This window comes from Homo sapiens, chromosome 1, assembly GCF_000001405.40.
Source record: "Homo sapiens chromosome 1, GRCh38.p14 Primary Assembly".
Lineage (NCBI taxonomy): Eukaryota > Metazoa > Chordata > Mammalia > Primates > Hominidae > Homo > Homo sapiens.
Window position 1 is genome coordinate 120,980,357 of NC_000001.11, and position 15,817 is coordinate 120,996,173.

The 15,817-nt window shown below is 41.6% G+C and overlaps 2 pseudogenes across 1 annotated transcript in view; one reads left to right on the forward strand and one right to left on the reverse strand.

Annotated features, from left to right (window-relative positions):
• FAM91A4P (family with sequence similarity 91 member A4, pseudogene) lies at positions 3,014 to 8,341 on the forward strand (annotated as a pseudogene).
• PDE4DIPP4 (PDE4DIP pseudogene 4) overlaps positions 5,336 to 15,817 on the reverse strand; it is a 66,476-nt pseudogene continuing 55,994 nt past the window's right edge. The window contains exon 3 of the transcript NR_135813.1: positions 5,336 to 5,510. The product of NR_135813.1 is annotated as a PDE4DIP pseudogene 4 (transcript). The remainder of the gene's footprint in view (positions 5,511 to 15,817) is intronic.

A 15,817-nucleotide genomic window follows, 5' to 3' on the forward strand; every position in this document is an offset into this window, starting at 1 on the left:
ATTTAAAAGGAATAGGATGTGGACTTAGAAGGGTTATTTCTCTGCAAACTATCCTCTCTTTCTTATGACAAGCTATTTCTGAATGTGCACATTTGAGGCTAAGCAAATCCCTTCCTGGGAGGTGTGAAAGACCTTTATTTCTCTCCAGAGGAGTATTATGGATGTGGTAGAGACCTAGCTAACTCATCTGCAGCGGCTTTGAGCAAGGCTTTTAGAACCATAAGGTGGCTGGGGTCCTGTGTCCTACACCACAGGCCAGCTAGTTCATTTCAGGAGACTTTCTTTTCAATCTATTATTACTATCTTCTTCTAGACTGTAGTTCACTACCAGAGATTATCCACTTAGCTGCACTCAGTTTGCACCTGGCCTGTATCACCACTTAGCTCTCACTCTAGCCTCAGTTAGGTATCAGCAAGACCTCACCAAAGATTATTGTTTCGTTGTATGTGCGTGTGTGTTTTTGTTTGTTTCAAGTAGCAACTAATGTTGGAACTATGGAAAGTTCTTCTCTACTTTTAACAAAGCTTAGTCACAAACAGTTCCCCAGTTGATGAGAAAAACTAAAACAACAGAACAATTGAAAGTCCAAATCTGAAAGCTCCATCTCTGAAAAGCAAATTTTATAGCCACTCCAGATTTGTATTCCAAATGGACAGTTTGATTGTAGAAATCACATCCCTTCAGTCTGCAAATGTGATAACTGCCCAAGAGACAATGATGCCTAGATCCATAAATAATCCCCTTTCCCCCAACCTATATATAACTGGAGTCAACAGCAGCTAGAGGAAAATGGCAAGGACTTGGAATCAAGATTAAGTTAGAATAACACTGCTGTAGACTGTTTATCAGCTCTTCAGCATATGTCCACTTTCCTTGAAGGATAAGCCTTTAGAAACCTCTGACAATAAAGTTTATTTTACACACATTCTCTTGCCTATGATTTTTTTGTACAAATCACAATTACAAAACTTTCTTGCTCCAGCTAAAAGCAGGAAACTCAGTCACAAATGTGTTCACTACATGTATACCACAGAATGATAGCAGCCAGTCTGAATGCATCACTTGATTCCAAAATTAAATGTTAGCACTCAGTAGTGAAACTACATGTATCTCCAACTCTGGAAGCCCCAGGCAAGATACTCCTGTTTCCTGCAGGGAAACAGATCTATAAGCAGGGCAGCAGTCTCACACATGTACATTCCTGGGAAACCCAAGGAAACAATGATAGTGACGCAGGGCAGGCGAGCCTCAAAACTGGTTTGTAGCCTGAGAAATTTCTCCCAGACTGTAGTTTCCTTGGCTTTGCCAAGGAAAGAATTCAAGGGCAAGCCGCTGGTGAAAGCAAGCAACTTTTATTGAACTGGTGCTGCTACTTGCAGAGCAGGGCTAACCCATAGGCAATGTGCCCAGAGTTGGTGCCTGTGGGCTGCTAGCTAGTTGTATTTAGACCCACTTTTAATTACATGCCAATTAAGAGGTAGGTTATTCAGAACTTCCTGGAAAAGGGGCAGGGAGTTTCCAGAACCATATAAAGTAACTTCCAGGCCATTGCCAAGGTGTGTTGCCATGACATTTGTAAACTGGCCATGGTCCCAGTGGTAGTGTCTTTATGCTCATAAGCAGTGAGAGCAACTAGAGGTCACTTTCATCATCATCTGCTGGTTTCAGCAGGCTTCTTCACTGCACCCTGTTTTGACCAGATCCTGCTCTGTTCAATGGTCCTTCTGGTCTCCTACCTCATTTCCCCATCAGAGATTATATACTCCTCCTTAATCTTAAGGGGCTTGCAGAAGGGTGGAGGTTCATCTTCTGTAACTGCTTCCTGCTGATGTTATGGGCATAGACCCTGTCTAGCACTGGAGAAGTAAAATCTCTGGATACCTGTTCTAAAAGACCCAAAGGCAGGATGTCTTTATTTTCTGGGTCAGAAGAGGGGATGGATTGAAAGCCTTGTGCCAGCATCGTCTTTACATGGAATTATTGTAATCTAGAAGACACAAACTTTACAAGGAGGTTAAACAAGCAAGGACCAAAGATTAGTAATAACAAGATATCTGTTAAAGGTCCTAGGAAGGGTAAAAATCAAGTGTCTGCTGGTAGAGATTCCTTTATTGAATTCAATCAGCAGGGCAAAGCGGTAAGAGAGAAAACATTATAATTAGGAGTAAGAGAAAAACTTTCATGCTCATCCACAGCATCATGTTATTAATATTTATCTGTGCATTTGCAAAACAATAGCTTTAAGTCTTCTGGGAGTTTGCAAGTATAGGTCATGGCATCTTCCTCTGACATCTGTGAGGACTCATAAGAATCTTTGAGGCTGGGCACAGTGGCTCATGCCTGTAATCCCAGCACTTTGGGAGGCTGAGGCAGGCATTTTACAAGGTCAGGAGTTCAAGACCAGCTTGGCCAACATAATGAAACCTCATCTTTACTAAAAATACACACACACAAAAAAAAAATTAGCCAAGCATGGTGGCACGTGCCTGTAATCCCAGCTACTCAGGAGGCTGAGACAGGAGGATTGCTTGAACCCAGAAGGTGGAGGTTGCAGTGAGCCGAGATCGAGCCATTGTACTCCAGCCTGGGCGACAGAGCAAGACTTCATCAAAAAAAAAAAAAAAAAAAATTAACTTTGGAGTTTAACAGCAGTGGGAGTGCTTAATAATGCCTGATAGGGGCCCTTTCTATTTTGGTTGTAATTGATTCTTGGGGGATCCTTCTTTCTAAGTTTTTAGTAAGACTAAGTCTCCTGGTTGAATGGGGGAGTTAATCCTTTTCCTTGTGGGAGGTTACGTTTCATTTCCATATGATTGAAGGGCCTTTTGAACCTGGCCTAAGTTGATAATCTATGTGTCTCTTCATCAAACAGAAGGTCTAAAGTTAAAAAGGGCCTTCCGAGCTGCTCAGGCGACCCAGTGCTCGGTTGGCCCGGGCCGCGCTTAACTGTCCCAGGTCAGTTAAGCCCGTGGGAGCCCAGGTCATGGGGCAGCCAGGGCCTCTGCAGTGTGAGGCGCCGGGCTGCGGGTGGGTCGCGGTCGCGGCCCCCGCCGCAGGCCCTGGCGGCGGCATGGTGAACATAGACGTGGAGTTCCACATCCGGCACAACTACCCCTGGAACAAGTTGCCGGCCAACGTGAGGCAGTCATTAAGTGGAGATAGCTCATCATGGAGGTCTTCATCTTTGTCTTCACATCAAGTAGGCTGAGGAGGAGGAAATACAGGAAGTATTGGTCTTGCTGTTCAGAGTGGCAGAGGAGAAAGAAAATCCCAGCCGTCTTGGAAATTCACAGAGAGAATATGAAAATCAGGTTGTCCTGTACAGTATCTGCAATCAGTTACGATACAGAAATAACTTAAACATGTCAAGAAAGATGAACGCGGATACTATGAGGAACTGCTAAACTACAGCCGAGATCATCTCATGCTGTACCCTTACCGTCTATTGGATATTATGGTGAAGGGCTTGAGCATAACACCATTTTCATATTACACTGGGATTATGGAGAATATTATGAACAGTGGGCACAATTTTACTGCTGCTGACTGTCTAAGGCTTCTTGGCATAGGAAGAAACCAGTATATTGATCTTATGATTCAGTGTAGATCATCAAAAAAATTCTTCAGAAGGAAAACAGCCGGTGATCTTCTACCAATAAAGCCAGTGGAAATTGCCATAGAGGCATGGTGGGTGGTGCAGGCTGGATATATCACAGAAGATGACATCAAGATATGCACTTGGCCTGAGAAATGTGCTACTGATAAGATCGTTGATTCAGGCCCTCAACTCTCTGGATCACTAGATTACAATGTAGTACATAGTTTGTATAAAAAAGGATTTATTTATCTGGATGTACCAATGTCTGATGACAGTTATATAGCAGTTGCACCCCTTGAAGGTTTTGTAATGAATCGAGTGCTTATTTTGATTATTTTGAAACTCTACTCTATAAGATATTTGTTTCAGTAGATGAGCACACAAATGTGGCAGAGCTTGCAAATGTCCTTGAGATTGACTTATCCCTGGTTAAGAATGCTGTTTCAATGTATTGCTGATTGGGCTTTGCCCATAAGAAGGGACAAGTAATAAATTTGGATCAACTTCATTCATCATGGAAGAATGTTCCATCCATAAACAGATTAAAGAGTACCTTAGATCCATAGAAGATGCTCTTGTCATGGGGTGGAGGGGAAAGTAGGAGGCCTGTACAAGAAGCTTCATCGGCAACTGACACTGATACAAATAGTCAAGAAGATCCAGCTGACACAGCCAGTGTAAGAAGCCTGAGTCTGTCTGCAGGACACACGAAGCACATCGCATTCCTGTTTGACTCCACTCTTACTGCCTTCTTAATGATGGGAAATCTTTCACCAGTTCAGAGCACTGGTGAAAGAGAAGCACAGAGATATTTTGATCATGCGCTTACTCTGAGAAACACAATACTGTTTCTGCATCATAACAAAGATCTAGTTGTGCAAACTGCACAGCCAGACCAACCCAATTATGGTTTTCCTCTGGATCTCTTATGCTGTGAAAGCCTTCTTGGTCTGGACCCTGCAACTGGCAGCAGAAAATTACACACTGCTTGTTTCCATGGCTCCCCTCACCAATGAAATCCGGCCTGTCAGCAGCTGCACCCCTCAGCATATTGGACCAGCTATCCCAGAAGTCAGCTCTGTCTGGTTTAAACAGTACATTTATGTTTATCATATCACTGGACAAGGACCACCATCCCTTTTATTATCCAAAGGTACAAGACCTCGAAAACTGCCAGATATATTTCAGAGTTACGATCGATTGCTAATAACATCTTGGGGTCACGATCCTGGAGTAGTTCCTACCTCAAATGTGCTCACGATGTTGAATGATGCTTTAACACATTCTGCAGTTTTAATTCAGGGGCATGGTCTGCATGGGATAGGAGAAACTGTCCATGTCCCATTTCCATTTGATGAAACAGAACTACAAGGAGACTCGTGTCAATATGGGTGTTCATAAAGCATTGCAGATACTAAGGAACAGAGTGGACTTACAACATCTCTGCGGATATGTCACCATGTTGAATGCTTCCAGCCAACTTGCAAATAGAAAACTCAGTGATGCTTCTGATGAGAGAGGAAAACCTGATTTGGCTTCTGGCTCAGATGTTAAATGGGAGTACAGAGTCATTTGAAATGGTCATTGAAGAAGCAACTATAGATTCAGCAACAAAGCAAACCTCTGGTGCCACAACAGAAGCAGATTGGGTTCCTCTCGAGCTGTGCTTTGGAATTCCGCTGTTCAGTTCCGAATTAAACCGGAAAGTTTATAGGAAAATTGCTACACATGGCCTTTGCAGAAAAGAGAGCCTTCAAAACCTCTTACATTCCAGTAGAAAACTCTCTCTGCAAGTCCTTAACTTTGTTCACTCATTCCAGGAAGGTGCTTCAACATTGGATATTCACACAGAGCCCAGTTTTTCAAGTTTGCTTTCACAGTCATCGTATGCTGACATGGGTGTTCCACTTCCTGCAAAAAATTTAATATTTAAAGATGGTGTCTTATCAGAACGGAGTGGATGGTCACCTTCCTCACTTATTGCTAATCTCCATTTGCAATAATTTGGTTACACCATTTGCTGCTCACACTTTCTGCCTTTTTTCTTTCTTAACGTTAGCTTTATAGTGTCAGCCACTAAAAAGCATCCTGCTGCTGCGGAGCAATTCTTGCTTTACTAATATTAAAAGTTTGGGGAACATATTCATGTTTTCTGAAGTTTTGCTCCTTATTGCACATCTTATTGCAACAAAGTGCTTTTTAGCATACAGCACTGTATTTTTTACCTTGAGACAATCTGCATTTCTTTTATAAAACTAAGTATATACTTTATAGGCTTTATGATGACTGTTATGTTTAAAAGCAGTCACTGTGAAAATTGCAATGATAATTTTATATGTTAGTTTATCAAACATCAATCTTGTTTAACTTTATATTTTGTTACCTATACTTTGGGGGATCAAGGGAAGAGATGGAACTCTTCCTCTGAAAATGCTTCTTGGTACTTAAAGTAGTAAAACTATAAAACAGTAAACATCCAGTATTGGGAGATGATATGATAGGGCATTATGAATTCCTATGGGTATCTAAATTATGTATGTCAGTTGGACATTGTAGAAGGTATGTAAATCATCATGGTTATGTATAACTTAACCTTGATTTATAAGGTCTTAATTCAGATTATGACTATTCGTTGACATCTCATGAGAAGCTTTAGAAAACTTTCTATTTTTAAACACCATTTATATGTGGACTTCTGTTGTCACTGACTTTGGGCTTTATATTTTCACAGAGTCTTTATGGAAAAAGTAGAATTTATTTTCCACTCTTGTAGCTATAGCTGCTGCACATTTTCATCCTGATTTATTTTTTTGTTTCTTACCTTTGATGTTTTCAAACCAAGGATTGTGATTTTAGGTTAGAATTACATATTAGAAGCATTAAGACTATGTCTTTGGATCAGAATGCTTTAGTGATTAACCTACTTTGAAGACATACTCTTAAGCAATCTGGATCTTAAATTTATGTGAATACATTTTTAGAAAATGATAAAGAAAAATGGAATTACTTCAAAGTGTTTCTTGAGTCATTGATTCTTTTAGCATCTCAAATGTTAATTAGAATAATTGGAATCACTTTTTAGACTTTTCAAGTTACCTTCCTTGGGAAGTTTGTGTAGTGTTACAGTTTAGTTTAGCTCCTCTTATAGGGCAATGGTTTGCTAGTTTAAAACTGTAACCAAATGAACTGGTCAGACAACTCATATCTAAAACACTTAAAATGTTAGAACGTTTGGGAATGTTATAACCTAAGCGTTTTTGCTGATAACTTTTTGTTATTTATAGACATTTGTGTATTTAACATACTTACTTCTGGAAATATATGCCTTTCCTAAAACTTAACCACACATCCACTACCATGGCCTATGTATAGAATTGAATATTTTGGACCATGTTATCTGTGGCACAGTCAGTGCTGTGTTTGAGGTAAATGCAGTAACGGTTAGTTTTCTACTTTGCCTTATAAAAGGTAGAAACCATGTGTATGTTATGTTTGTCTATAAAAGAAAAATACTAATATTAAATTATTTCTTATGACTGTGAGTCACTCACTTATTTTTCCAATAATTGATATTGTACATTCCTAGTGCCATTAGGTATGTGTGTATGTAACTTTTACAGTTTTTCAGCTGAAAGTTGTATTTTTTTTTAATCAGGGCTCTTTAATCTCATTTTAATTTCCTTTGTTTGAATGAACTGTAGTTATTTTCTGTATTCCTATATTAACCATCTAAACCAACTGTAATGACACGTACACTAATAAAGAATTGAACATTTGTATTTGTTGGCAGTGAGCCCAGTTGTTGGTGAATTTAAAGCTTAAAATATGGGAGTGATTTGCTGCTATATTTCTTTTGAGAGATAAAGGAGGAAGAAATGGAACCTAATGGTAATCATGAATTTTAGGGAAAGTACTGAAAAACCATGGGGTCCCCTCTGGTTTCTTGTGTTGAATGAGGCAAGAGTAATCATCTGATTCTGAGCTAAAGACCTCTCATACTCTCAAGGAGGGAGAGTGCATTTTTAGAGCTTTTAGCAAAAATGTGAAAAGTTCATGTTTGCACTTTGCTTTGTGAATTTGGCTTCCTTTTACTTATACATTAACTCATGTAATGTCTTAAATCTTACAAGTATTGATCCATTTCAACAAAAAGGTAAATTTAAAGTGCAGACTTTGTTACTTGCCAAAGAAGATTCATGAAAAATTTATATCCAATTATTTTCCAAATAGTTAATTTAATTTGGCTTTTTACCACATTCCTTCCTTTCTTTCCCGACTTCTTTAATGTAATTTAAATCCTGGAAAACATTCTTTAGAAACCAAGAGGAAAAGAAGAACACATACCAAAAAAGACATATAACTTAAAATGGTACATTTCACATCTAAAATGGGTTTGAAGAAACGCAACTTTATATCATTAAAAAATAAGATCATCTGATTTCCTTTATTTCTTTTTTAAATTATGTAATCAGATGATTTTATATTTTTTTGGGGGGGCAGAATATTGGTTTCTTTTACTTGATGTTTTCAGTTTTCTCTGGCATTCAAGTTTCTTTTTTGTGTTCAGTGTTTCAAATACAATTTGTATTTAAGGATTTTAAAATACCAAACTGTAAATGAGTACAGTGGATCTTTTTCTGTTAGGATGTTAATATTATACAATGAAATCTATAAAGTGTTGTCAATTTGATCATTGACACATATGACACGTTTACAATTAAACTGTGGTGTTGATCAAGTTAAAAAAAAGACGGAGGCCTTCCATAAGTCATTTCAAATGGACTAAGCTTTAAAGTTCTCTTTGGAGCCATCCTCATATGCAAAAGGGCTATGAGTAGGAGGAAAACTCAGGCCTCTGAGGTCTCCTGAAAGAGTTTTGCTAATGTCACAACTGGCTTTCTATGTTATCTGAAGATTGAGATCTCCATGAAGAGTGAAGATAGGTAATGCTTAAGGCTGAGGCATTACCTCACTGGGTCACCTTAGCTGGGAAGGGAGGTCAGTTATCCCCTTGCAAACATTTTGGTAATCCAAATCTTGGGATGATTTCTTTAAGTAAGAATTTAGACACTTCCAATACTTTTCTTGTCCTTGTGGGGAAAGCTTCTATCCACCTGGTGAAAGTGTTTATAAATACTTGCAAATATTGTAGTCCCCTGTAAGGTGGCATCTGGGTTAAATCTGTCTGCCAGTCTTCACTATGGTATGTTCCGTGGTGTTGTACAAGTTTAAGCAGGGAGCGGGGTATGGGGTGGCTTCCTGATTGGTAAATCTTTTTATAGTTTAGAACAGTCCCTTCCCCAAGAATATTTAGGAAACTAATTTGAATGGAAAATCCTGTCCCAAATGTGAGGAATCATGAAAATGTTAAATTACTTCCCATTTGTCAGCCTCAGGAATAGAGTTTGTTCTTTTCTAGCAAGCATCTAGAGGGGTCTTACTGGAAGCCTTTTACTCAGTCCCTTTAATTTCCTTGGGTGTATACTATGGTTCCACTGACATGGATGACCTGGTAGTAGCGCAGCAGCCTGAAATACCAGGGTTTCCTTAGCTGTGGCCTTAGCTGCTCTTTCCAAAAGGGAATTTCCTCTAATAAGAACAGTGTCTTCCTTCTGGTGTCCCCTGCAGTGAATACTTGTTATTTCTTTGGGAATTGGACGGCATCTAAAAGTTCCAAGATCTGAGTAAAGTTGTATGGGGGATCCCTTGGCTCTTGATAGTCCCCTTTCCTTCCCTATGGTTGCATGAGCCTGAAGCACCCGGAAACCATACTTAGAGTCAGTAAACACATTGACTCTTGAGGGTTTTTTTTTTCTTTTTTGAAACGGAGTCTTCCTCTGTCGCCCAGGCTGGAGTGCAGTGGCATGATCTTGGCTCACTGCAAACTCTGCCTCTCAGTTTCAAGTGATTCTCGTGCCCCACCCTCCCGTGTAGCTGGGATTACAGGTGCCCACCACCATACCCGGATAATTTTTGTATTTTTAGTAGAGACAGGGTTTCGCCATGTTGGCCAGGCTGGTCTCGAACTCCCAACATCAGATGATCCACCCACCTCGGCCTGCCAAAGTGCTGGGATTACAGTCGTGAGCCATCCAACCCAGGCTTAAGTCTTTTCACAGTTGGAAGGTCCTGATTAGAGCAGCTAATTCTGCTTTTTGAGCAGAATTCTGAGAAGGTAAACCCTTGGCCTCAATGACTTCTTGTTAGCTAACCTTCCTTTCTTACTCCCTCATGAATAAAGCTATTTCCATCTCTAAACCACTCAACACTGGGGTTAGACAAGGGCTTGTCTTCAAGGTTGGACCTTCTAGAGTAGATCTCTTCCATGGTTTCCACCCAGGAGTCAATGAGTTGGGGATCTGTTTCTTGGGATGTGAGGTCCAGCAACAGAGTAGCAGGGTTTAAAAATCAGCATACTTTAAGGGTAACATCTGGGGTGTCAAGCAGAAGAGCCTGATATTTAAGTAACTGGCCCCCTATTAGCCATTGGTATACTTTTGCCTCTAGGACCTTCTGTACTGTACTTCATGGGGTGGTGGGGGGCGGGGGTGGTATGGCATCTACTTGTTGTCCCAAGGTAAACTTACTGGCTTCTTCTACCAATAGAGTGATGGTAGCCACAGATCTCAAGCTTCCTGGTCACTCAGCTGCCACCTGGTCTAGCTGTTTAGAGAAATAAGCCACTGGTCTGAGGCAATTCCTGACCCTTCGAGTTAGAACATCCAAAGCTGTCCCTTGTTATTCATCCACATAGAGGATGAAAGGTTTTTCTAAGTTTGAGAGTCTTGAAGCAGGGGCTGTCCCTGGGTTTTCTTTTAAGGCTAAGAATGCCTTTTGACAGGCTCCATTGCAATTCAAAGGCTTATGACCACTCACTTTTGGAGGTTCGTAGAGTGGTTTTGCTATGAGCCCAAACCTGGGAATCCAAACCCAGCAGAATCCAGCTATTCTCAAAAAGGAATTTGAGGGACCTGGAGTGCCAGGATGGTCTCTTTTCATCCCTGGGTCAAGATCCTGGTCCCAGGAGTGAGAATGTGTCCCAAATACGTGACCCTTTGGACAGAAATTTGGGCCTTTCGGGGGGATACCTGATACCCTTGTTTTGTTTCAAAATTAAGGACTTGAAGTTGTATGTTTCTCAGAGTCTTCCCCTAGTAGGGCTGGAAATTAATAGGTGATACACATATGGTAAGAGGGATCCATTAATTAACTGTAGTTCCCATACCTCTTTTGCCAATGCATTGCCAAACAGATGGGGATTGTCCTAAAACCTTGGGGACAGGACAGTCCAGGTAAGCTGAGATGCAGCATGAGTGTCTGGATTAGTCCATTCAAATGCAAAAATGTATTGGGTGTCCAGGTGTAAAGGTGTGTGAAAGAAAACATCTTTTAAATTTAATACTATGAACCAATAAGCATCTTCAGGGACTTGAGTTATTATTGTATAAAGATTAGGAACTATTGGGTGACTGGAACTAATGCCTCATTAACTGCCCTAAGATCCTGAACAAATCTATATTCCCCGTTTGGCTTATTAACAGGAAAAATGGGGGTGTTACGTTGGGACTGATAGGATTGTAATAATCCATACTTCATTATCAGGGGATGGATGCCCCTTGGAGCCAAAGGTCTAAAAGGATACTGGATTTTTCTTTTTTTTTTTTTTTTTGAGTCAGAGTCTTGCTCTGTTATCCAGGCTGGAGTGCGGCGGTGCAAGGCTCACTGCTACCTCTGCCTTCCGGGTTCAAGCAATTCTCCTGCCACAGCCTTCTGAGTAGTTGGGATTGCAGATGTACACCACCATACCTAGCTAATTTTTGTGTTTTTAGTAGAGATGGGGTTTTGCCTTGTTGGCCAGGCTGGTCTCAAACTCCTAGCTTCCAGTGATATGCCCACCTTGGCCTCCGAAAGTGCAGAGATTAAAAGCATGGGCCACCACACTTAAAAGGATATTTTTTTTCCCATAGATAATTAACACTGGGTTTCAAAATAACCTGGACTGGGAGAACATTTGCAGTTCTTCCAGGAACTACCATGTCACAAGCAGACGGGTCTACTTGAGAAGTAATATTTGATGGAAGGAACGTCTTTTCTTTATCTGTGTTAAGACATGAACTTAGAGCTAGGAGAAGTGTCCCTTCCCAGCCTGTGGCCTTCTCTTGAGGTGCTCCAAATTGAACTGCAGCCTGTTATTGGGAAAGTAAGTCTCTTCCCAGTAAAGGAATAAGGCACTCAAGACTAAGCAAAAATCTGTGGAAAAACATGGTTCCCCACAGTGCAACTAAAGGAATGGGTGAATCTCCTAGCTTTTAGCTGGTCATCAATCCTCATTACAGTACAGGAGTGGGAAGACAGTGGCCCCAAGGACTAGATCAGAACTGAGAAGGCGGCTCGCATATCCAATAACTCAATATTTTTACCCGCCATGTCAAGAATTACCTGAGGCTCTTCTGTAGAGATGGCAAGGTGTCTGGTGGAAGCTGTAGGGAATCTTGGGCCCTGTCAGTCCTCTGTTCTCTTAGCCATTAGGGGTCCGAGAAGCTCAGACTCCGTTTGGAGACTGAGGCAGTCTTTCCTCCAGTGGCCCTCTTGCTTACAGAAGGCACACTGATTCCAGCCTAGGGGATGATGAGCTGGCTTTTGTCTGGGCATCCCAAAGCCACTCTTGCAACACTTTCTCAGGATGGGCAGCTCAAAAGCAGTAGGAGGCTGAAAGCAGCTGCAAACAATTGCATTTTTTGGCTATTTCTTTTGGTTTTATCCTTTTCCTCTGCCTTGTCCCTATTGTTGTAAACTCCAAAGGCCATGTTTAAGAGTTGGCTCATGGAGTTTGGGGTCCCATTCCTGCCTTTTGTAACTTCCTCCTAATGTCAAGGATAGATTGAGTAATACAACGCATGCCCAGAAGAGCCCGCCCTTCCGGGTTGTCTGGGTCTACATTAGTATATTTCCTGAGTGCCCCAACCAAGCAGCCCTAAAACAGAATGGGATTTTCATCCTTCCACTGAGTTACTTCTCTATCCTTGTCACAATTAACTGGCTTAATCACACACCTTTTCATACTTTCTATTAAACAAGTTAGCATGTGATTTCTATGTTCAAGTTCTTGGGAACCCTTCTGGTAATCCCACTGAGGGTCTCTATGTGGAACTGCATCTCCCCCTACATAAATGGTATGGCCTTGGATATGAGCAGCTACTCTAACTGCATATTCACAGGCCAGTACCCAGAATCCCTCTCTTCTCCTTAATACAGGAAGAGGACAATAATATTTGCAAGTTGTGCCAAGTTAAATCAAAGGACATCATCAACCTGACAAACTCCTCTATAAACTTCCCTGGATCCTTCAAAAACCAGCCATACTTCTCCTTGAAGAAAGCCAATTTGGACAAAGGAAATGGCACATATACTCTGATTGTTCCCCTATCTCTGCCAGCTAACTCCAGCAATGGACACAGATTCAATTTGAGGGGCTGATAGAGAGCTCCACTCCTGGTGGTTCTGGTTGGGCTTACTTCCTTGGGCAGTGGGGGATACAGGCTGGAGCTAGCTAAATAAAAGGGAGGGTTTTCTGATGACATTGGGGTGAAATCCCACACTGGAGAACTGGCAGGACCCCTCGCAGAACTGGGGGACTGAGAAGACCCTGGAGAGGGCATGGGCCCTCCAGGGGGTGCCGCTAGGAAGGGAGCATCGAGGATATCCCACGCGGTTTCTTGGTGCCTGGAAGTAACATGAGCCAGACACATCCTGCAGTTGACTCTTAAGTCAGAATCCTGGTAGGGGGCCATAGAAGCCTGTACGTAAGGAACTTCTCCCCATTTTCCTTCCTTTTTACTGAATAAGTCCAATTGTAAAATAGTATGATAATGTAAAGAACAAGTTTCAGGCCAAATTTCTTGTTCTCCCAAGAAAATTGTTTCTTTTTCTTTGAGCCATCTCATTTGAATTTGCTCCAATTGCCTTAAAGACACCCTAGTGGGGAGTCCTTTGGGATGCTCGCCTTTGTCCCCATGTCTAACAAGGATCTCTACTACACCCAGAAGTTTTTCTAAGTCTAGCAAAAGCTCAGTTACTTTCCCTTTCAAATTCCCACCTCCTGCAGAGAAGATGTAAGTACAGTTAGCAAAGTGTTATGAAAGTAGATTATGAAATATGAATGCGAAGTAAAATGATGGGTCTGAATTCCACAGAGTGAAGAAAGCATTTTAGTTTGGGCAAAGAGGGGTTAAAAGAAACAAGGTGATCATGGAAGGGAGGAAGGGAAAGCATGAACAGCGTTGTCCAGACTGAGGTGCCAGAAAATCTACCCAGCAGCCACGGAGACTGAGGAAAAATATTTGGGCAAAATGTTTGGGTGGCTGCTGCTTGTCTGCCACTATGGGTAGTTGTCACTTGGGCCAGGGGTCCAGGAACCCCTGGTCCCTGTGACCAAGAGTTCAATATGGGCTTGAGCAAAGTCACGTAGGAGGGGGCCCACAACTGGCTGTTATGGAAAATTGTAATCTTTTAATTTAAGGGCGGAGAAGATGACATCCACACTCCTCCAGGGAAGGAGCTCTAATCCACAATCCTATAGGGAATGTCAATGCTGAAAACCCCAGAGCATCCAGGGAGAGGCCAACAGTGACAGTGGAACTCTCACCACAACGAAATGCCAAAAACCCAGAGTACCCAAGTATCAGCCAGTGATGGTCCCCACACTGAATGCTGAAACTGCAGGGGAGGCAATGGTGAACCCCAAAGGCCAAGTTAGGGGCCACTGAACAATGTGACTTTGGCATCTCAGGGTCAGCACAGTAAGGGACTTTTCACTACCAAGTGTCCTGCCTTAAACAGTTCTTGACTCTGTCCTGTCCTGTCCTGTGTTATATCATGTCCTGTCCCATCTTGTTTTGTCTTTGTGGTCACCAGATGATGCAAGGAAGGACAACCCCAAAATTGGGGCTTAGCCCAGGAGAGTTCTTGGCTTTGCCCAGGTAAGAATTCAAGGGCAACCCAGCGGTGAAAGAAAGCAACTTTTGTTAAACTGGTACTGCTTCTCGTGGAGGAAGGTTAACCCATGGGCAGTGTGTGGGTTGCTAGCTAGCTGTATTTATTTAGATGCTTTTAATTAGATGCTAATTAGGAAGTGGGTTATTCAGAACTTTTTGGAAAAGGGATGAGGAGTTTCCAGAAGCATATAAGGTAACTTCCTGGCCATTGCCATGGCAAGTTGACATGGCATTTATAAACTGTCATGGCACTGGTAGGAGTGTCTTTATGCTAATGAGCAGTGAGGGCAACTAGAGGTAGCTTTTGTCTCCATCTGCTGGTTTTGGTCAGCTTCTTTACTGCACCCTGTTTGGACCAGATCCTGCTCTGATCAACTGGGCCACAACCGCAAAATAAGTCCTGCCACTTTCCTGCCTCAGTAGAATCTCTGCCAAAGAATGATCTTGAAAGTTTGCTGTTTACTCATCATCTGGAAAAATCTTCCTGTATAGGCCAAATTCCCACCCTTGAGATTTCTGAAGGACCAACAAGTAAAAACAGTATACTCCAATGGGACTGTTAGATTTCAACTAACTTACTCTCCTTTGGATTTCTTTTTCTGAAAATAAATTCTTCACACACACTGACTTGTCTTTTGCAATCCAATGTAAAAGTGGGACATCTTCTTCAGAAGCTTTGAAACATACAAATTAGCCTCAAACTTACCTACCAGACTTCCAGGCTAGAAGGCTGATTCATGTAAGAAGGACTAAGAAGACACTTCACCCATATCCTGGGTAACAGGAGGGGATCCTTTAGATAGGTTTGTACACCAGGCTGGCAACCTACACTTTCTTCTAGCAGTGAGAGGTACTGAGATCCGTCACCCCCTCCGGCAAGGCCAAGACCCAGAGAGAGCCAAATTTTAGCCTAGAATTCAGCCAGCTCTTCACAGTCTCCCATGTTTTACATTTTCCTCCACAATCATTTACTTTGAAAGACTTCAAACCTATAGAAAAATTGAAAAAAAAAGAACTCCTCTACACCATTCACCCAAGTTCAACAGTTAACATTCCTTTACCTTTTTTCTCTGTCTACACACACCTACACACACATTCATATTTCATAGTAAATGCAGACCAAAAAAACTCCACTTCATCCCTAAATAGTTCAGCATGTATTTCATGAGATTAAGGACATTATCCTATATAATTATAATACAATTCAATTATCAAACCTAAGGA